Source organism: Homo sapiens, chromosome 8 (genome assembly GCF_000001405.40).
Source record: "Homo sapiens chromosome 8, GRCh38.p14 Primary Assembly".
NCBI lineage: Eukaryota > Metazoa > Chordata > Mammalia > Primates > Hominidae > Homo > Homo sapiens.
In genome coordinates this window covers 71,848,709-71,873,037 of record NC_000008.11, presented here as the reverse complement: position 1 = coordinate 71,873,037, position 24,329 = coordinate 71,848,709, and the positions used below count along the sequence as shown (strand labels likewise).

The following is a 24,329-nucleotide window of genomic DNA, read 5'->3' as shown; positions in this document are numbered from 1 at the left end:
AGAGCTAAAGAAATATATTTCCAAAAATTGCAAAGAATCTATAAAACGAAAAGTTGTTTTTTGAAAAGATAGACAAATTCAATAAATCACCAGCTAGACTAATCAAGAAAAAAAGGGAGAAAACCAAATGAAATCAGAAATGAGAGACATTACAACTGATATCACATAAATAGAAAAGATCATCAGAAACTATTATAAACAACTATATGCTATAAAAACTAGAAAACCTGGAGGAAGTGGATAAATTCCTAGACACATGCAATGTACCAATGCTGAATCAGGAAGAAATAGAAAACCCAAACAAGTCAATAATGAATAGCAAAATTGAATCAATTATAAAAATTTCTAAGAAAAAGTACATCCCAGAGGACTACTTGGTTTCACTGTTGAATTCTACAAAACTTATAAAAAACTAACACCAATTCTCCTCAAATTATTCTAAAAAATTGAAGAGGAGGGAATTCTCTCTAGCTCATTCTATAAGGCCAGTATTACTCTAATACCAGAACCAGACAAGGACACAAGGAAAAAAGAAAACTACAGGTTAATATCCCTGCTGAACATGGACATAAAAATCCTTGACAAAATACTAGCAAACCATAACTGAGAGCACATCAAAAAGTTGATACACCATAATCAAGTGGGTTTTATTCCAGGAATACAAGGATAGTTTAATATATGCAAATCAATAAACATGATACATCACATCAACTAAATGAAGGACAAAAAGTATATCACATCTCAACAGATCAGAAAAAGCATTTGATGAAATTCAACCTTCGTAATAAAAATCCAACAAATGAGGCATAGAAGGAACATACCTCAACATAACAAAGGCCATATATGACAAAACCCACAGCAAATATCATACTAAGTGAGGAAAAGCAGAAAGCCTTTCCTCTATGAACTGCAATGAGACAAGGAAGCCCAATTTCATCACTCCTATTCAACATAATACTGTTAAGTCCTACCCAGAGGAGCCAGGCCAAAGAAAGAATTAAAGGCATCCGAATTAGAAAAGATGAAATGAAGTTAGCCTTGTATGCAGATAATGTGATCTTATATTTACAAAACCTAAAGACTCCACCAAAAAAATGCTTAGATCTGATAAACAAATTCAGTGAAGTTGAAGAGTACAAAAATCGGTAGTATTTCCATACAACAATGAAAAAGAAATCAAGAAGGTAATCCCATTTACAATAAGAACAACAACAAAAAATACTTAGGAATAAAGTTAATCGAGTAGGTGAAAGACTTCTATAAGGAAAACTATAAAGCATTGATGGAAAAAATTGAAGATTACACAGAAAGATTGACAGACATCCCATACGCATGGATTGGAAGAATTAATACTGTTAAAATGATCATACTACACAAAGCAATCTACAGATTCAATTCAATCCCTATCAAAATATCAATGACATTTTTCACAGAAATAGGAAAAAACAATCCTCGAATTTGCATAGAATCAAAAAAAAGAGCCTCAATAGCCAAAGCAACGTAAAACAAAAAGAATAAAGCTGGGGGCATCACATTACCTGCCTTCAAATTATATTACAAGGTTATAGTAATCAAAACAGCATAACATTAGTATAGAATCAGACACATTCTAATGGAAAAGAATAAAGAATCTAGAAATTAATCCACATATTTATAGCCAACCAATTTTTGACAAAGCCACCAAGAACATACATTGGGAAAAGAACATAAACTTCAATAAATTGTTCTTATCCAAATGCATAAGAATAAAACTGGATTCCTATCTCTCATCATATAAAAACATCAACTCAAGATGGACTAAAGGCTTAAACATAATACCCAAAATTATAAAACTACTAGAAGAAAACATAGGAAAAACACTTGCCAAGACCTTGATCTAGGCAAAGACTTTATGGTTCAAAGTTTTTGCTATGAGCACAGGCAACAAAACAAAAAATAGACAAACAGACAAATTGAACTAAAAAGCTTTTGCACAGCAAAAAATAAATAAATAAATAAAAATCAACAGAATGAAAAGACAACTTGTAGAGTGGGAGAAAATATTTTTAAACTATTCAACCAATAAAGGACTAATATACAGAATATACAAGGAACTTAAACAACTCAGCTGAAAAAAAAAAAAATCCCTTAATAACTGGGCAAAGGATCTTATTAGACATTTCTCAAACGAAGACATACAACTAACTGGCCAACAGGCATATAAAAAAATGCTCCACATCACTAATCATCAGGGAAATGCAGATCAAAACCACAGTAAGATATTATCTCTCCCCAGTTAGAATGGCTATTACCAAAAAGACAAAAAATAACAGATGTGGACAGGGAGGTGGAGAAAGGGGAATTCTTATACGCTGTTGGTAGGAATGTAAATTAGTATAGCCAGTATGGAAAACAGTATGGAGATTTCTCAAAAAATTAAAAACAGAACTATCATACGATCCAGCAATCCACACTAATATCCTTTTCTTTCATATTTATCCAAAGAAAAGAAAATCAGTGGACCAGGCAAGGTGGCTCATGCCTGTAATCCCAGCACTTTTGGAGGCCGAGGCAGGCGGATCACAAGGTCAGGAGATTGAGACCATCCTGGCTAACACGGTGAAACCCCATCTCTACTAAAAAAAAAAAATGCAAAAAATTAGCCAGGCATGGTGGCGGGCGCCTGTAGTCCCCAGCTACTCCGGAGGCTGAGGGAGGAGAATGGCGTGACCCCGGGAGGTGGAGGTTGCAGTGAGCCGAGATCGCGCCACTGCACTCCAGCCTGGGCAACAGAGTGAGACTCCGTCTCAAAAAAAAAAAAAAAAATCAGTATATTAAAGGAATACCTGTACCCCCATTTACTGCAGCACTATGCACAATAGCAAAGATATGGAATCAACCTAAGTGTCCATCAACAGGTAAAAGGATAAAGAAAATGTGGTATATATACACAACTATTACTGAGCCATAAAACATAATGAAACATAATGAAATACTGTCATTTGCAAAAATATGGATAGAGCTAGAGGTCATTGTGAAATAAGTGAGGCACAGAAAGATGAATATCATCTCATAAAGGCAGAGAGTAGAATGATAGCACCAGAGGCTGGGAAATGTGCAGATGGGGTTTGGGGAAGGGCATGAAGAAAGGTTGGTTAATGGGTACAAACATACAGTTGGAAGGAACAAGTTCTAATGTTTGATAGCAGAGTATAGTGACTACAGTTAACAACGATGTATTGCATATTTCAAAATCACTAAAAGAGAGGACTTAAAGTGTTCCCAACAAATAATACATGCTCAAAGTGATGGATATCCAAAATACCCTGACTTGACCATGAAACATTCTACGCATGTAACAAAGCATCACATGTACCCCATAAATATGTACAAATATTATATATCAAGTTTCTTTAAGGTACAGCAGGATTCGCAATTAGAAAAAAAGTCTGATGTCTCTTCAAGTATCTTGATTGAAAATGAAGTTCCTAAAGGTAAAAATTTTGATGACCTTTTTGACTTTTGCAGAAAATGAACTGTGGATGTGATTTTGCAGAAAAATGAGCCAGGAAAACTTTATGATCAATCAAGGTACCACATTAAAGAGTATTCTTATTTATTGCATTATATAAAATTATGACACCAAAATATATCTTTGCAATTTGTATGTTTATGCTTTTACTCATGTTACCCCTATTATGTTATGTAATTAATAAAATATTTTAAAAGAAAAGTAAATTTTTAAAAATTACTTTAACATGGTAACTATAGTTGTTTTAAATTCCCCATCTGATTGTTCGAACATCTATGTAATGTCTTTGTCTGGCTCTGTTGACTCCTTTATCAAGTTAGACTACTTTTTTGCCTTTTTGTATGCTTCATAAAGCTTTTGTTGATGGTTGGACATATGCAAGGTGACAGATATTGATATACATATTGTTATGTACTATGTACTCCCCCAAAATTCATATTTTGAAACTCTAACCCACAATGTGATAGTATTAGGAGGTGGAACTTTGGGAGGTAATTAGGTTTAAAGGAAGACATGAGAGTAGAGTACTCGTGATGAGATTAGTGCCCTTAGAAGATACCATATCTCTCTCTCTCCCTCTCTCTCTCCTCTCCACTCCCCCTGCCCCACCATGTGAGGATACAGGAAGAAGAGACCCATCCACAAGCTGGAAAGACCCTCAATGAGAATCCAACTATGCTGGCACCCTGATCCCAGACTTCCAGCCTCCAGAACTGTGAGAAATCAATATCTGTTATTTAAGCCATCCAGTCTATGGTATTTTGTTTTAGCAGCCTGATCTGACTAAGGCAAAAATTTGTTTATTCTTAGAGAAGAGCACACTTTTCCTTCTGTTAGGCCTGTAGTGTAGGGGTTCATGTTAATCTAATCAGAAGTAAGGCTGGGTTTAAAGATCACTTCCTTGTTGGTTTTGGGTCTCCCCATTTGGCTTAAGTTTTTCCTTTATGCAATAGAGAATTGGTCTCTTGCAGTTATCCCAGCCGTATTCCACTCTTAATTTTATCTGACACTTGGTAGGATGATGGAGGTCAGGGGGGTAAGGGGAGGAGGTATTCTCTGATATCCTTATTAGGCCTCAGCTTTAGATGGGCATTGAGAACCTCAGTCTTGGGGCTGTGACATTAACAAACATCCCTGCTCCTTCGCCAGAGGCAATACTAGGACAAGCACGTCTTCTCCCCTTTCCCCAGAGTCCTCAGTCTACAGTTTTGTTCACTTCTCCCTGCACAGTAAGGCTTTTTTTCCTTTGAGATGATACAGATGAGTCTGGCAGTATTACTGCTATGGCTTCTAGATCCCCTGCTCCAGCCAGTGTCACAGGGCAAGTTTTCTTAGGCTTCTTCCCAGTCTTCCTCATGAATGCCTGATTGAGTTGTACAGGAATATCCTGCAAGATGATGTGACCCCCCACACACACACCCAGCCCCCAGAGACTTCACAATTATACTCAGGTTTTAGCAGTTCATTAAATATTTCTAGCTGATCTTCTTACTAGATTATTCGAATTGGCAACTTATTGGCAGACACTTGTCTCTTCCCAGATTTCAGGGTAGGTTTTACCGTGCAAGCTCAGTTATCTCATGGGTTCAAGAAAATTGATTAATTTCTAACCTGACAGCTTTTGTTTTTCTTGTTTTTAGGTTGGAGGAATGGTAGTTCCAGCTCTCTTAATCTCCAAGCTGAAATCAGAAATCTTTTTCTACAAAGAGGCAATTTGACCCATCCTACATAATATTTCTCATAAAGGAGTGAATAAATGTAAAGGGGTTAAAGGGCCTACAATTTTTTTTTTTTTTTATTTTGAGAGAGTCTCACTCTGTCACCCAGGCCGGAGTGGAGTGGCATGATCTCGGCTCATGGCAACCTCCACCTCTGGGGTTCAATTGACTCTCCTGCCTTAGCCTCCGAAGTAGCTGGGACCACAGGCACATGCCACCACACCCAGCTAATTTCATATTTTTAGTAAAAAAGGGGTTTCACCATATTGGTCAGGCTGGTCTCGAACTTCAGACCTCAGGTGATCCACCCACCTTGACCTCCCAAAGTGCTGGGATTACAGGCGTGAGCCACCGCACACACCTGGTACAATCTTAAAGTCTTACATTTTATCCTTTAGTCTAAAGTTGTATGATCACAAATAAAATAGATATTTTACATCTGACAAAATATTCAAATCAATTCAGTAACACTTAATGAGCATGTACTATATGCCAAACCCTGTCCTAGTCATTTCTGCATCTGAGGAATGAATAGGACACATTCTGTGCCCTCAGTCACTTTTAAGTTTATCAGAGGAGACAAGGATGTGTTTAATTTGATTTTATCATTTAATTATAAATATCTGAAACAAACATATTGTATACTTCATTTTAAGAAGAAAACTAAGTAATACAATATATACACATGGCAATAAATTTTATGCAATTATAATATTCCACATCAGGATCCTGTTTTAAATTAGAATATGACAACTATTTTCTATAAAAATATCACCCTGATTAAAACTTAAAGAAATAAAAATTCTTCTTATAAAAAAATCTGCTATTTAAACAATTAATTTGTAACTCAGATACTGCAGTAGCATGCTTTAGAGAGTTAAAACTTGTTCTTAGCAGGAAGATTGTATTATAATGCTTTATTGTTAAACATAAACAATATTTTAATGTATTATTTAGGTAGCTCTTTAAATGATTTACTCTTTCCTCCTGCAGGTCATTTATTATTGAGGGATTCCTGAAGCTGAATAGTTAGATGCAAAAACATGTGTTCAAAGTTGAGACAGATATGGCAAATGGCCACATTCTTAAGATCATGTAATTGAGTGAAATAGGGAATTCAATACCTCAGCAGATGACAAGTCCAAGGATGACGCCTGTTTTAGCAAAAGCTAAGTTGGAACACATGAAACCATCTGATTTTGAGTTTTCATGTGAATCATTTTGGAGCACAAGGATTAATGAATGTATGAGAATGTGTCCTTGGATTAGAATGCATTCCTACAGAATGAGAGTAAGAAATATGAGAAATATTAAAAAGAAAACAAATACAGCATTGTTAATTTCTTACTATGTGACTAAAAAACTTGAACCAAAGAACACGTGTGACTTTCACTGATGGGTTACTTTCCCACAATGCACCTGCATGCAAACTGCAACTGTAAACAGTATATGATTCTGTTCAGTCTAAAATATTCAAAAGCTACCATTAAACTTGGCTCAGTCTTCTTTATACACCCCTAGGATTATCTTCTGGAACTAATAAGATTAAAATTTTAAATCTATTTATGCTTTGAGCTAAACAGAATTATCTAAAAAAAGATATGTAAATAAAATTATGACCAGCATGATTTCAAAGCATTTTGGATAGTTAAAGAGCATTTGAGGTTAAACTGAATGTGTAATTTAATACCCGGTATATGGAAAAACTCTATCGTCAGCTTATGTGAATTATTTTATCAAACATAACAATAGATGAAGAACTAAATGGCTAAAATAAATAATTCAGATGCTGCTCTCATTATAACAAAGGCGAACTTTTCTATGGTTCAGGGTCAATCCAAACAAGGATACCAGCTGTTCTATGAGATAATGTCTTGGATAAAGTCACTCTTGAATGAAAATTTTCACACTTTGTTATAATAATGCATCACGACTGCAATGAGAAAATAAAAAACAAAAAGATGATGACAAATATCTGAGATAGACCAGAAACAAATTCTTTTCCATGATCAAATTCATCTTACAATCCAGGAAATAAATTATTAACAGTTTGCCAAACCCCATGTTTTTGTAACAGTTTAGAAATTAAAAATAGTACTAATACAATGACAGCATGTATTTGAAGTGAAAAGCAGTTTCTCTACTGTGATCTCACCTCCCACTTTAAGGAGAAATAAAAATGAACAGCTATTTTTAACTTTCAGACCCACTTGGAAAAATTCGGTAGATCAATGCAATGCATAAGTTGATACTGGAATTTGTTCTTCTTCCTTCTTCTAGAAGTGTCATGCTTTCATCTTACAAACACTTATCTATTGATAGTGAGGGAAAAAGGAGACTATACTTGTTCATGATAGAAACACAGGCAGGAATGTTGATAAACTTATTGTAACTACAGCTGCCATTGCAGTGGTAATGAGATTTAAGGAATATATATTGAATTGTGTAGCCAAAACATGTCTGCCAATTGAAAAGGTCAGCTATGCCCATGAGTGCATATTTTGTTCATGCAATTCATGCAGTTTTTCTTTTTATGTTGCATATTTTCTTTTTAGATTGCACAAAAAAATGCAATAGCTTGCTAAACTTCCTTCACCAAATCATAATCATTGTGGGAAATTGGGCAGCACTGTTGAAGATTTGCTAATAGTAAATCATGTTCTTTTTTTCCAACTGTGGCTTCACAATGACTTGAATTATGCTGGGATCCTGTTCTATACAATTTGAAATCAAACATGAGAATATTGATTTCTTGCAACTAAGACATCTCATACCACAATATGATACGCATGGCTTATATAGAGTAATAGCCGAAAAACATTTTTTTTTAAGTTGAGAGCACTTAGTGTTCTTTTTCAAGGCAGATGTTTTCCAGATTTGCTATTGTCACTCATTAAGAAAGCAAGAAGGCTGTGAGTTATGATAATGTGAGGCACGATGTTAGATATTGTATACGCCATCTCACCCATAAAACACCACAAATTTTCTTAGCTAATTCTTTCCTTCACTTGCTTTATTTGGTTCAATGTGACTGTTTTTCCATTAGTGTGTAACTACTTATTATGTCTGTGTGATGAAATGTATCCAAACAGAGAAAATAAATGGAAAGTTAGAAAGTTGATAAAGTGGAAGTGAGGGAAATATTTCAGTTAATAGGACTCATATATATTCAAAAATTGTGTTGCTTTGAAGTAATTATGAAGGGAAATTATCGTATGTATTATATGAGACTTAATTAGTACATATATTTGAATTTGGGGAGCAATGTGTATATTTTGAAGCGATTTAAAGCACTGTACAATTATTATTTCATGAACATTTCCATGTAAGAGAAGAGGTCTTACTATATCTATAAATCAATGGAGTAAACACAGTTCAGATGGCTTGACAGGTACTGTGAGGCATTTCATGAGGTAAAATTCAATCTGTTTTTTTTCCTTCCTAGAAATTTAGTCTGATACATGCATTATCAGAAATATTATGTGGACATATCAGTAGGCAAATGAATGTTATTTCCCATCCAAAATATGCCTTCTTAAAGCTATATTCTTACCTAAATTAAGATTAAATTTTGAAGTAAGATAGATGATATATGTAATACCTTGTTTAATCTGTTATGGATCTAACTGGTGCTACCATCAATTTTTAAAATAATAATTTATCATCCTTTCTCTTGTTTCATCTAAACACTTGAGTTGAAACATCTTTAAAAGAATAGAAAGTGAGATTTCAATAGCTACAATTAGAATTTCTATCTCTTTTCTTTGAATTTATGAACCATAGAGGTCATTAGTGTTGAGAAGGGTTTCAGTTTTCCCACAGCAGTGAAGCATGATATCTGTGCAGGGCTCCCAGCTGGCTGGCTGCTCAAGGCACAGTTTGGAAACCCACATTCCAGATTGCCTCAATATTGCAACATGAGATGACTTAAAGAAGTAGAAACACAAATATCTTAAGGAACAAGCAAAGAGAATAAAAGGATGACTATTTTACAAAACTTTAAGTGGGAACATTTAAAAGGCACTAAGTTTTTCAAACAACTGAAAAATGATGACAAGACCCATATACTAATCATGATACTTTTCAGCAATTTTATGCAAAACACTGAACAAAACATTAAGCCTTACACTACAGAAAACTCATAATTTATTAACACCCCCTGAACATAACTTTCAGCAGTAACACTTAGGAATTCATATGCCAAGTGTAAACCCACAGACTTGGCTGTGGATATAGCAATAATGGTTTCCAGAGCCTAGTAATTCCAAGTATGAGTATTATGTATGTCTCTTCTTTTTTCCCATTATGCTAGAAACATAAAATTTATTTCCATCCCAAATAGCCAGCATGTACTGCCAATTTATTATTATTAGAATGACATAAAGGGAGGGGGTGGGTTGTGGCTCAAGAGGAAGGGACTTTACAAATATAGAACAACCTCTTTGAACAGATGTCAATACCAAGAAAATTCTGAGGCTGACTAAGGATTCCAGATGTAATTGATGAGATTTCAACACAGATGCATTGTTGAGCACTCAACTGGATCTTCTCACTCTTCAGTGAGAGCCCATGGTTGAAATGTACCCAGCTCTGATGTGCCTAGTCTGTGGCAAAAGCAATAGTGAACTGCAAAATCCCCATGCTGAAAGAAAACAGCAGTCTTGCAGAAAGATGCTGAATTTATTAACTTTTGATGAAACTATTTCTTTACAAAACAAATGACTCCATCCCCAGACAGATTCATACTATCTGCAACAGTCTGAAAATTATTAACAGCAATAATGTTATCTCTGGAACCAAGAAAAGGCAGCTAGAATTCATTAATAGCTTTTGACCACCCAAAATGCCTCCACACAGTGAGAATTAACAGATGGATACAAAATCTCAGCACATTTAATAACATATTACAATTGAGAGGGACTCTACTCTTGATAGAAAGGGAACTTATATGCTGTATTCAAAAGGTGAATCTCTCTAAAGAGATCAAACTATAATTTACTGAGTGACTGCTATGTGCCAGGCACTATCCTAGGGCACTTAACACAAATTATTTCACTTGATTCTCAAAACTTTATGAGAGAGGTTTTATTGCCCCCTATTTTACAAATTGAGGCTAAGAAATCACAGCGAGGAGTAATGAAGCCCTTCTTAGACAGGTTTGTCTAACCCCAGAGTTCAGCCTCTTTCAACTGTACTATATCACCTAGGGGTAGATTAAAGATGGCTGCAAATCTTGCTTGCTGCTCCTCTCATTGAAAGATGGAGTTGAACTGTCTAATTCTTTTACCCTTTGACTCTGGATTGGCATTAGTAACTTGCTTGACTGATAGTATGAGGTATATATGACATCCTGGGACTTCTGAGTCTAGATAACAAGAAGTCTTACAGCTTACATTTAAGACGTCGTGCAATACTCACTCATGAAGCCCTGATCCACCAAGAAAGAACATGTGAAGAAGCTCTGAGACTAAATGGGAAGTGGCCCCGGTGCAACCCAGCCTTCCAGCCATCCCCTCCAAGAGGCCATGCATAAGCCATTTTAGACTGTCCAGACAAGGCCAGTAATCAGGTGAATGTCTCCAGGTGACCCCAGTTGGGGCCATGTGGAAAAGAAAAGCTATCCAGCTGGTTCCTGGTCAAAGTCATGACAGACAACATGATTATATATGACAGAATGATTGCTGCTGTAAGCCACGAAGTTACAGAGTAGTAACACAGCAATAAATAACTGCAAAATATCTTCCTACTGCGATATTTCTACACTATGAGCTTAAAAAGGGTCTTGGGCAAAAAAAAAAAAAAAATGGTGAAAAATAGAACAGCCTACTTGGAGAAGCTTTCAATGTCTTCCTTGCTCTGGAAAGTAGTGAAGTCATCACTCTAGTTTCTCTTCTTTTACTTGTTCCTCCTAATCTTTGATAAATGGATATAAATTTCTGCTTTATTATTCAGGTTAGAATATATTTAGGTGAATAAAAAGCAGAAATAGAGGAGAAAAGGGAAATGTTACTCACAGGTAACATGTTTGAGAGTTTCTAAAGAGAAAGAGTCAAGGTTATTTTGAATTTGACTTACGGAAATATTATTTAAACAGCTGTAAACAAAATCAGAGGAGAGTATAGAATTGTAAGGCTGATGTAACTGAAAATTGTAGTGGGATGCTGACTTTGCACAAGCCTGATTAAGATGCTCAAAAACATCACAAGAAATAACGTTCTTTCCATCGTTCAGCTTTGCTTTACTCTGGGCCAGCCTTATTCTCAACTCAACTCCCTCCTCACTGTGGCAAGATGGCCAACTTCAGCTCTAAGTTTATATCACAGCATCTCAGCTATAAACTCTTCAGCAAAAGGAATTTTCATTTCCAAGAGGACCAGTAAAAGGGTGTCCTTTTCTTGGGTTGGATCACATGACCTTCCCTAAACCAGTTCCTGTGGTCAGAGAAATGAAGTGTTCTGAATGGCCAGGTCTTAGTCAGCAGACTTCCCAACAGCCTTGGGAGAGGGCCAGCCCCACTTTTGCCACGTGGAATGAGAGTGGCTGCTCCCAGATGGAAGCCTAGTACTGTTCCCATCGTAATAAGTGGAGGGTAAATGCTACAAAGAAGAAAACAAGCCTTCAAAGGGGAGGAAGAAAGAAATACATATTCCTTATTTATACAACATAAACCATGCTTATGACCTGATATTATCTTGATTATCTAAATCAGTGGTGTAATTTAATATTTATAGGAAATTACATTAAACAAATTTATAATCTTCCTCTCCTCTACATCCATTCTGCTCTCCCCTCCCCTGTTTAAGAGCAAACTCCCTTGGGTCCCCAGAGGACCCAGTGTTCTTATGCTGCTTTCTGGCAGCCCAGGGCCCCCACCAAAGTCCTACCCACCTGGTGTGGGTTCTATTTTCTGAACCAATTCCTCTTTCTGAGAATTAGTCAATTTCTGAGCTAGTGACCAACCTGCCCTTGGCCCCTTCTTACTATAAAATGAGGGGAATATTTAAGTGACCTTTAAGGCACCTTCTATAACCAATTTCTTTGGACTTTTCACTGAGACAAACCCTATAAAGCAAACCCTATTTGCATACTTATTTGCATACCTCATTCCAATGGTTGTGTGGGAGGAGGACTCTTGCTCTTCTTCACACATTCATACATAGAGGGGGAAGCTCCCAATCTCTTCCAGAAAGCAATGAAGTCATCACTCCAGTCTCTTTCTTCTGCTTGTTCCTCCTCACAAGAAAGGGAGGTGCTAATCTGTTTGGTAAGAGCTTCACTTCCACTAGAGCCTATTTCCCTACTTGATGGGATTACAGGGTACTGCTCACTGGTAGCACAAAATATAATTCTTTTTGATGGTCTTGTGCTCATGCAGTAAGATCCCTCTCCTTCCCTGGTGCACACCTTTGCATTTCATGTCTCTGAGTACTAACCCACCTTGGGAGGGCTTGCTCAGCTCAGTGGGGAGGTATGCTGTTCTCTCTGCATTCCAGTTCCTCCTGCCTTTCAGAAGCAGTCCTTGAACTTGCCATAGGTGGACTGGAAGGCTGCACAGAACCCTTGACTTACTTTGAAAATACAGAGGTTTTTCTCTGGACTAGGGGGAAGGGGACCTACTTTTGGACTTAGATCTAAGTCACATTCTCTAATCTACTTTTCTCGGATCCCTGAATTCTATTGACTACTTCTTTGCCTAAAAAGATGATAATTTGAGCCCCCATTTGACTAGTACTTCTCTCTGTAGGTTAGAACCTAGCAAGGAGGAGAGGTAAGTTTTCACTCTTATCTACCTCTAATAGTCATTTCCAAATTACTTTCACATGCATTCTTATCACTTCATTCTCAAAACCACCTTGTGATAACTTCCAGGGCAGGAAATACTAATTCAATTAAATTCAAGGAAATAGAGATACAGAGGTCAAGAGACTTGTCCATGATCTAGTTAGTTGCAGAACAGGACTAGATCAGCATACACTGAGAATAGAATCTCAAAATGAGAGACACACTAACATTCTACAGCTTCAAAATATAACCAGAGAAATAATTCCTCCAGCACTTATTTGCACTCCTCTGGCAAGAAATTGTTGTGAAAACTTAAGACTTCTAATCTTTATGTAGTATACAGAGTATAGACAAAAAAGAAAACCGCAGTTAACAAAGTATCGTAATGTCAGATGCATGATTTAATTTCTAACCTGCTGTGACACTGTAAACTTAATGATCACAAAAATTACACATTATCTTTGTGTAGCTCTGAGTAAATATTGTGGTGGTATATGCTCTGGTGAATATGTATAACTGTGTTGCTTCTGTTGTTTTTATGGACCTCATTGTACAGGATATTGGATATCACTAGAGATAATGTAAGCCTTAAAGCCTGTCAAATTGAGATAGTCTGTGCACCTGCATCCAGTCGTCCACCCCTGCAGCAGTTCTGGGCAGCTGTCAGTGTTCCCACCCTCCCCCACATAACTGGGAGTATCAAGCTGCATATAGAATATTTTGGCTTATATACAAAGATGAAATAAGTAAATAGGCAAACCTTGGATATCAATCTTGGCAATCCAATACTAAACCAGGATATTCTGAACTCTACAAAGTAAATTGATAAAATAATTTTGAAAATTATATCTTGCACATATTTGATATAGAGGTAAACTCTTTCAAAAGGAAAATTTCCCCACAATCTTAATATCTCAAAGTAGTGTTGGAACATGTCTCTGTATGGTGAGCAAGGCCAATGAAGAAGAGAAAGAAATAACAGATGGCCATTCTCTAGTTGCCCTATCTAAGACTAGGAAGTGGTGTGAGCTAAAAAAAAACTATCTTCACCTAACATTTCTTATTTTTAGGTAGTTTTTTCATTTCACTGTGTGTGAAAGAGAGAAAAAGAGAGTGAGAGTTTGAAAGAAGGGGAGAGAGAAACAATATTGATTTTTGTATGACATCTGGATCACTTTGTCCTGTGTTTATGAATGAAGTAAGGGACAGTAAAAATAAAGCTAATTCTATAGTCGGTTCACAAGCAGGATATAGGAGGAATGGGAGAGTTCTGAAATTCTGGGAGAATGGCAGCAGAAATTTAATCATATGCCTAGTCCATACTAGGTACTCACTATGTCCTTGCTTAAAGAGTTAAATTAACTGGGTTCATCACAGAATTCATTGACAGAATATATGCTAATTGACTACTTCTACTTGGTCGTAGTGGGAGGCTTGTGTTTTTTATGTGAAAGTACTAAAAGGATAAGAATAAAGAAACTAAATACATTCTATTTATTTTTATTGATCTAAAAACTGTTTTACAAAAGGATTAGAAGATATCAACCTGTCATCATCCTAGATACAAACAGTTAAACCCACCCCTCCCTCTAATTAGCTTTTCCTTTTGCATACAGAAGGAAAGCCTTTCAGACACAGCTGTTCTTAGGCCAGATTCTCTCAAGGGAATGACTCAGCCTCTGTCATGGAAAGACTAGTCAGAAACAAGCTATTGAGGAAGATGGAGAGACAAGAATATAAATGCACAGGAGTGTGGTTTACATAGGAGAATGTGGTAGACAAGCAATGTGAAGCTAATCTTGCTGAATCCCAGTGGTTCCTCTGCTCTGCCTCATTCTTGTGCCAGTGAAAATTGGAAACTTCAGAAAAGACTAAATATGGAGCTTCTTAACATATGTGAAACTTCTTAACATTCTCCTTCCTACACGTAGAGAACTGGTACTTAATTTACTGCTCTTTTAATTGGACCTCATGATATATAAAATATACATCAAGATTCAGTGGAAGACAAGGTGATGTCCGCAAAAATGACAGACTTGCGAAAATAATCTTCCCCATGAAAGCAATGAGAAAACTCACAAAATTATCAGAATCAACATTTTCAGAATGCTAGAAATTAGCCAAAGTTCTGCAGCAATCTGGGTATTTTTTTTTTGAAGAAAAACAGCTGAATATCAGTAAGAACAGTAAGCTTTGCTGTGTTTTAACTTGTCCTACTCCCATTCCCTTCTTCTCTTCCAGCTCCATAGTAGCCTTGAAAACTGACAGCTTACAATCACAGTGGAAGCCATAAATTAAGCAGACCTTTCAGGCATTGGAGGAACACTCTACCCCACAGCAGTAGGATATACATTTTTCTCAAGTATACACAGAACATTCCCTAGGATAGGCCCTATTCTAGGCCATAAAACAAATCTCAGTAAATTTAAAAGGACTGAAATAATACAAAATACTTATCCAGTAAGAGAAATACATTTGGGGAATTCACAAATTTATGGAAATTAAACAACACAATCATTTAAAAACCCATGGGTCAGTAAAGAAATCACAAAGAAAATTAGAAAATACCTTTATGGAAGAAAATGAAAACATGGCAAACAAAAAACCTAAGTAATACAAGTAATACATTTCTTATGGGGAAATCGCAATACCAACAATGAGATAGAAAACCTAAAAAGAAAACAAAGAGAAATTCTGGAGCTAAAAGGTATAATAACTAAAGTAAAAAAAAAAAATTCACTAGAGGGATTCAAAGGCAGATTTGAGCAGGCAGAAAAAAAAATCAGTGAAGATAGGACAATGGAAATCAACTTCATCTGAGGAACAAAAGAAAAAAAGTTTAAACAGGGCACAGTGGCTCATGTCTGTAATCCCAGCACTTCAAAACAGGAAGAGCCCTTGAGATCAGGAGTTTGAGATCAGCCTGAGCAGCTTAGTGAGACCCTACCTCTATAGATAATTTTAAAAATTAGCTGAACATGGTGGCACATGCCTGTAGTCCTAGCTACTAGGGAGGCTGAAGTGGGAGAACTGCTTGATCCCAGGAGTTTGAGGCTGTTGTAAGGTATAATCATGCCACAGCACTCCAGCCTAGGAGGCGGAGTGAAACTGTCTCTTAAAAAGAAAAAGAAAAAAGAATGCTTAAAGAAAAGTGAGCAGAGCCTAAGGGATCTGGGGGACAACATCAAACAGAATACATGTATTCTGGGATTTCTATAAGGAGAATGGAGAATGGGAAAGAGAGAATATTTATAGAAATAATGGCTGAAAAGTTCCCATATGGGATGAAATAAATGAATACAAACATCTAAAAAACTCAACAAACTCCAAGTAAGATGAACTAAAAGAGATCCACACCAAGACACATAATAATACAACTTTTGAGAGAAAGACGAGAGAATCCTGAAAGCAGCAAGACAGAAGGATCTCATCATTTACAAAGGATCCTCAATAAAACCACCTGCATATTTCCCATCAGAAACTTTAAAGGCCAGAAGGCAGTGGGGCAATATATTCAAAGTGCTGAGAGAAAAAAATTTTCAACCAATAATCCTATTTCAGCACACTATCCTTCAAAATTAAGTAAGAAATTAAGACATCCTTATATTAACAAAAACTGAGGGAGTATTTTAGTGCATTTTCTGCTGCTCATTACAGAATACCTGAAACTGGGTAATTTGTGAAGAAAAGGAATTTATTTCTTATAGTTATGAAGGCTGAGATGTCCAGAGTCAAGGGGCCACATCTGGTGAGAGCCTTCTTGCTAATGGGAACTCTGAAGAATCTTGAGGCCTGGAATCACATAGTGATGGGGCTGAACCTTGCTCAGGTCTCTCTTCCTCTTCTTACAAAGCCACCAGTTCCATGCCCATTAACCCATTATCCCATTCATCTATTAATCCATGAATAGATTAATCCATTCATGAAAGCTGTGCTTTCAAGATCCAATTACCTCTTAAAGGCCCTTTCAATACTGCCACATTGTGGATTAAGTTTGTGACATATACAATTTGGAGGAAACATTCAACAAATAATAAATGACATTTATAACTCAACAACAACAGGACAAAAAATTTAATTTAAAAATGAAAAATATCTAAATAGACTTTTCTGCAAAGAAGATAGATAAATATACAACAAGTACATTGAAAGATGCTGAACTTCATTAGCTGTTAGGGAAATGCAAATCAAAACCACTATAAGATATAACTTTCACACCCAGTACGATGATTATAATCAAAACAAAGAACAATAACAAGTATTGGTAAGGATGTGGAGAGACTACATTGCTGCTGAGAATGTAAAATGGTATAGCCACTTTGGAAAATAGTCTGATAGATTATCAAATAGTTAACCATAGAGTTACTATACGACCCAGCATTTCCACTATTAGGTATATACCCAAGACAGTTGAAAACATATGTTCACAATAAACTTGTACATGAATATTCATAGCAGCATTATTCATAATAGCCAAAGATTGGACATATCCCAGGTGCCCATAAATTGATAAATAAATAATTACAATTTGGTGTGTGTATATATATATATCATTATATGTATGTTATATATAATTATATATAATGAAATATTAATTCAGTCACATAAAATTGAAATACAAAAGCAAGCTAAAATATGAATGAACCTTAAAAAACATTATGCTTAGTAAAAGAAACAAGGCATTAAAAGTCTGTGGCTTATTATATAGAAAGTTTTTCAATGGAATATTATTATATATGTAGTATGTCCAGAACAGATGAATCTACAAAGACAGATAAACTAGTGGTTGCCAGGGGATCTGGAAGAGGGAGAAACGGGAAATGACTGCTAATGGTTATGGGGTTTTGTTTGGGGATGATACAAATGTTTAGGAATTACAGAGTGGTGATGGTTGCACAACCTTTTTGAATATACTTAGAAATCACTTAACTGCACATCTTTAAAGTATGAACTTTGTGGTATGAGAATTATATTTCAATTAAAAGAAAGGTTCAATGATTATCAAAGCAAAAATACTATAATTAAAATTAGTATTTTTCAACCAAGTAGTATAAACATTAGAATTAAATATAAAAAGTTAATGTGTTTTGTGTCACAAGTAAGTATAAAAGTTACTTGTAACATTTTCCTCCCTGGTCAAGCTTATTTTTCTATGACTTCTAAAACGAATGCTAAATATCAAGAACTAGAAGATTTACTATCACTTTAAATACTCTGGAGTTAAGCACAGAGTGCCTGGCATTGTAGCTTAGCCTGCTTATTAAATTCTCTAGTATTTCACATGCATTGTCCAAGAACATTGTATTAGTAAGGATACTCTAGAGAAACACAATGAATAAGGGGTGTGTGTGTGTGTGTGTGTGTGTCAGAGAGGAGAGGACAGAGAGAGACTTATTTTAAGGAATTGGCTCACACGATTGTGGAAGATGGCAAGTCTAAACTCTGGAGGGTAGCCTGGCAGGATGGAGACCAGAGAAGAGCTGCGTTCTAGTCTGAAAGCAGTCTGCTGGCAAAATGCCCTCTTCTTCCTAGAAGGTGAGTCATTTTCTATTACGGCCTTCATCTGATTGGATGAGACCCACTCATATTACGGCAGGCAATCTTCTTTACTCCAAGTCTAGTGATTTAAATTTATATCTCATACAAAAAAAAAAAAAAACTCCACAGAAAAATCTAGAATACTGTTTGTGCAACTATCTGGGTACAATGGCCTAGCCAAGGTGAGACATAAAATTAACCATAATGGACATGATATAGCAACAAGAGCACTAGACTCTCATTCTAGACATCTGAGTTCCTCTTCAATTATCTTTGTATTCTTCAGCAAGGAACTTCATCTCTCTTAACTCCAATATCTTTATCTGTAAAATATGGGGGATATTAATGTTTAAAATGAGAATATAAGGGTATGGGGGTGCAATCTGACATACTCTGCTTTTTCTCCCTGTTAAACTACATGTTAATGAGTTCCCTATAGCAAAAATGAAGAAATCATAAGTTTATTATTGATTTAAAATACCCTAAATTTGCTGTGTTCCAAATGCCTATGGAATATGTTGAAAGAAATCTGCTAATATCTCCAGAGAGCCTAAGTTTTGAAAAATAGTTTGCATGTATGTCTGTGTGTATGCATGCATTCATGTATTTTGTCGTTAAGTCCATTTTACATAGATAACGCACAACTGAAAGATCTGAGAAATATATAGATCACTCCATATTATATTCTGTCAGTGGCACCCCCAACATTTCTGCAATATAGTGATACTGCAACTTTGCAAATCCTTCCCTCTCCACCTACCCCAAAGAGTTAAAAGTATGGCTTCATTTTGCCTCCCTCCTGCATACCATGGGTCCCCAACTGTAGAATCTTCATCTAAATCTCCAAGAGTATTTCCCCTGAACTCCAAGTTCCTAAATTGCATCTCTACCTCATCAAAACTTAATGGTCCCATAAATAGTTCATTCTTGCAAGTTCTTGCTATTGAAAATATAAACAGGTTAATTTGTTAAGATTCAGCTATTTCTAGCTGAAAACCACTCCATGTGAATCACTGTGCTAGATAACTTCACATTTGTTAATGGGTATAAGTGCTCATCAGTCAATGTCATCAAAGCCCTTAACACTGTTTTGAAATACATTTCCTTACCCCTACTTAGACTCTTTTTATATTCTCCAGAATGGTTATTCCCCACATTTCCCATTTCTGTTGATTCTAGTAACTCATGTCTACCCACCTATTCTATGTAGACAACTTTAATTCATATTCCACTGAGAAAACAGAGACCATCAGGGACTAACTTCTTTAACTTCCCATTACAAATCTCTACTGATCTACAGAGACATCCTACAGTATTTCAGGCAAAAAGATATGTACATCCTCTTCTTCAAGGCTAACTCATCAGCCTCCATTTCCTGTGGGATTTGCTCCATCACTATTTCCATATTTTTAATATATTTTTCCCATATGTTAATATCTTTAATCCCCTCCCCATATTTTTAATATCTTTAATCTCTTTCTTTTCTCCAGTATCTTCCTCTCAAAATACAAGCATGCTCAAGCAGGTATCACTCTTAAAAACAAAACAAAAATAAAATAAAATACGTTTCCTATAAAGGTGCCATTCCAAAGGCTTCCACCTGGGGCTAAGATTGCGTAACAGGGATAAGACTTAACTTTCTACCTGAAACTTCCCTAAAACAGACAAAATGTATCAAACCATGGTTCTTAAAACATTCTACAGGAGGTAATGAAGGACAATGAACCCTGAGAGATGGGAAACAAACAAAGGAAGCCCTACAACTGTCCCAGCCGGTGCCGTGACAGAGTTTCCACGCTGTGGAGCAGGACAAGGGGACCCAGGAGAGCCAAACACACTCCCTGAGTTGAGAAGACAGACCTGAGAGGCTGGGCAGACCAAAGTAGCTAGAATTCACCCGGCAGGGTAGCAGAGGGAAGAGAGGTGCACAGAGAAAGAACCTGGGGATCTGCAGAGGGTGCCCTTGGAGTATTCAGCCAATCATCACGAGCATGTGAGGAAACTACCAGAGGCTGAAGGAAGAACCACCAAAAAGGATGAAAGGGAACACAGCCAGCTACTCACACAGAGCCAGGAATAATATCTGTTCTAGCCAGACTGGAAAATTTCATGTTCCCAGTGCATTAGGTTGAGTGCTTATAAGAGTCTTGCCTCAGCAATGGGGGACAATTAGCTCTAGAAGGAACACTGCTCTGGTTCCTTCTACACATCTTAAAGACCCAAAGAAATCATTATTTCCAAGTAACTCAACTGCATCTGAGAACAAAGATCAATAATATTTGGTGGAATACAAAAAATTCCCAGTACCCAAAGGGCAAAATTCATGGTGTCTGGCATCCAGCCAAAAGTTACCAGGCATGCAAACAGGCAGGAATATGTGACATATCATGAAGATAAAAAATGAATCAGAACTGACCCAGTCATGGAGCCAATATCCTGGCCAGGCTGGGTTTACTCCCTTTGCTTCCTTACCCTCTCCCACATCCTAATTTCAGCAGTTATCCAAGTCAGCCTCCCTCCATTTATGAGACCACTTTGTTCCCCATCTGCAAAGAAACTCAACTCCTGGACCTGGCAGGAGTTTCATCCCTACTTAACATTCATTTTCTGGTCCACTCCTCGTCTAAAGAGATATTTTCCTTGCTTTTGGACATGGCTGAATATTTTTAGTTTTTCTCTTTTCACATTTTAGCTCTCACTGCTATGTGTTTGGAGCACAGGCGACGCTTCAAAATGTGGTCTTACCAGACCATCTCAACTGAAAGTCCCCACCCATGACTTTCTGAAATGACTCCCTTGCTTTCAGTAACACTACTCTCTTGGTTTTCCTCTTGCCTCTCTGATTACTGCCTTTTTTCTCTGAATTCCCCTTCTCTGCTTAACCATTAAATTATTAAAACCATTAACCACTTTTAAGGGCTCCACAACTTGGCCCTTTGCTCTCCTTAATCTAAGCTTTGTAAGTGTGTGATCCCCTGAAATTTTATGAAGATTCTGAATTTTTTCAATCAGGAAAAAAAATGGTAGCAAATGGTACTAAAAGCACTATTTCATTTTCATATAGAGAAAAGAATGTTACTGGGATGTTTATAATAAATATAATTGTTGAGTTATTTAGACTTCCTCTGGGCGTTGTGGCAAGCACAGTGTATAATAAATAGAAAGATATATACTCCATTTGATAAGAGGAAATATTCCTTAGAAGTCCATTCAGTTAATAAGAAATGTAAAAGAGTCCTTATAACTGCTATCAGTGGGTAGAACACATAGTAATACACTGAGTTGGTTAAATAAAGGACAAATGATGGGTTGAGTACCTGTCTCCTGTTAATTATGAGTGCAGATGGGCTTGTGTTCATGTGTTGGTGAGAGTTTTCAATCATCAAATATTTATTTTTGTTAAATGGAAAAAAAATAATTTGAGAGAGTATCTCGCCCTGTCACCAGCACGTAGTACAGTGTTACAATCATGGCTCACTGCAGTCTCGACCTCCCAGACTCAAGCAATACTCACACCTCAGTCTCCCGAGTAGCTCGGGCTACGTGTGGTGCTCCCATGCCTGGCTACGTTTAAAAAATTTTTTGTAGCAATGGGGCCTCACTATATATCCCACTCTGGTCTTGAACTCCTGGGCTTAAGCAATTCTCCTGCTTTGTCATCCCAGAGTGCTGGGATTACAGGCATGAGCTACTGGGCCTGGCCCATCAAATATTTAGGTAGTACCTTTCATGAGTTGCTAGACACTAGGGATATCCCTATGAACAAGACACAGCCTCCGCCTTCATTAAGTTTACCATTTAATCTTTTTGTTTTCCTCTTACTTATTTTAATTTTGTTGGTCCCTTTCCTAGAGGAAGTTGCTTAAAGGTGGCAATGTAAGAAGAAATAGGAACGGAGTGATGAAACAAAGCATGAGAATACCTTAAGTAGTTCTGTTTCCAATATCCTCAAGGGTTCCTCCTTTAAAACTGAAACCTGAAGAGGAATGTAGTTGGGTTATTTTTGTTTATTTGTTTGTTTCTGCTAACTGGACAGAGTAGCACAAATGAGCCAAAGGGGGAAAAAGTACTATGAGAAGTGGGCATATTTCCTAAAATACCTCCCTGTTTTGATCATCTGTTAGAGCTCACTTTAGAATTGGAGGTCAGAGGGGCTTGGGACTAGGGAAACAAAGGTCATACGTAAATAAGTTAGGCCCTTCTTTTATAGATGAGTCGGTTAAGGGACTGGTTGACAAAGAGGACAGAATCCTTGTTCTGTGACACCAGGAAGTATCTATTACATGAGAACTTCCTTCTGGCACCAGGAGGCATTTAGCTGGTGTTCTATAGGGGATGAGCCATGGCTGGGGGTTGCACTTTGAGCAAGGCCCGCTACTGGGAGAGGGAACAGGGAAAACATGAGCTCCTACAGGAGAGAGAATGGGCATAATAATGTAATAACTGACCTTCTACAATGCTCCACAGTTTCCACAGGAGCCTGCATGCTGGCAATCTCATTTAACTCTGGCAACTTTCATGGGTTATACACAGAGAAACAAGCTACAAGAGTATAAGTATGTGGCCTGAGGCCTCTCAGCTGATAAATGCAGAGATCTCCTCATGTCCACAGCAAAAGGGGCTCTTTTCAGTACATGCCACATGGCAGGATGATATTTCTCTCCCGGGTTAACTCCACAATTAAACCAAGGTAGGCTTGGGACCACACACTGGAGACCAGAGCTGTGTGCTACAATTTCAAGGGCTGTTTTGGTACCAGAGTATTTTCACATTTCCAGGTATTGCCAATAAAACCACAAGTACTTAAAAGGAGAAAATCCCCTGAGACAGAACTTTCTTAGCTTCTGCATAAGAGTGAAAGGCTGTTCCAGGGGTTTACAAAATAAGATTATTTTCAGACCTACAAGCCACACTCCTAACCCAGACTAGGACTGGGTTAGTATTCTCCAACATCCTTCAGGATTCTCCAACATCATGGAGGGCCACGGATTATGTAAACAGGCCTCCTACAGAAGACTTCACTACAGCACCTTCACTTTCTGAAAGCTGGGCTTCTATACTAGGCCAATTGAGTAATCAAAGTCATTTACAGGAAACACACAGCATTCCAGTTGGAACTTGGGGTTCCCAGGACAGTTAAGCCTCAGCACCTGCTCCCTAAAATCTAGAGATATTGTTTAAAAAAAATTTCCTGCAGAAGCTGCCTACAGTTTTTGTTGTCAAGACAATCAATGAGGGCGTTTTTCTTTTCTCCTGAAAGGCTGAGTCTTATCGCTTTCCCTCTCCCCAGCCTACCCCCAGCCCCATTTTTCATTGTTTATTTGTTAAGCCTGGCTTTTCCACCTTCAACCTCCACAAACCATCCAGGCACTGGCTTCTCCATGCTAAGGCCTCATGACTTTCGGAGGGAAGGGTAAAAAATCTTGCTGCAATCCTTAGATAAATAAACCAGCAGCAGAGGCCTGTTTGTGTTGTGGATGACAAAGGACTCCACATGTAGGCTTTGACTATTTCCATGGATGCCCAACCTGATGGCTGGTAGAGCCCGGGTGAAGGGAGTTTTCTTCCTTTCCTGGTCTGAAGAGTGGTGGCATCCTGCACAACACCAGGACAGAGGCTGCCCTGAGCCTGGAGCAGAGCCCAAGGCTTTGTGCAGACAAGGGACAGGCCTTGGGTTATCCAGACCTAACCCTGGGTCTTACACGTGACCTGTCCCCACCTGACTGGCTCCCCATGTGACTAGCATGCCACGTGGCCAACACACACTGGGACTAGCATTC

The 24,329-nt window shown here is 37.3% G+C and overlaps 1 long non-coding RNA gene across 2 annotated transcripts in view, besides 1 other annotated feature; it reads right to left on the bottom strand.

Annotated features, from left to right (window-relative positions):
- The window catches only part of MSC-AS1 (MSC antisense RNA 1), a 213,190-nt gene that overhangs the window by 183,275 nt on the left and 5,586 nt on the right, over nucleotides 1-24,329 (bottom strand). The gene's annotated exons all lie outside the window — the stretch shown is intronic.
- Nucleotides 21,432-21,521: an enhancer, noted in NCBI's record as "active region_27522". NCBI's record gives its function as "activates an Ori minimal core promoter by ATAC-STARR-seq in GM12878 lymphoblastoid cells {active_cell/tissue: GM12878}" and the evidence as "EXISTENCE:reporter gene assay evidence [ECO:0000049][PMID:35858748]".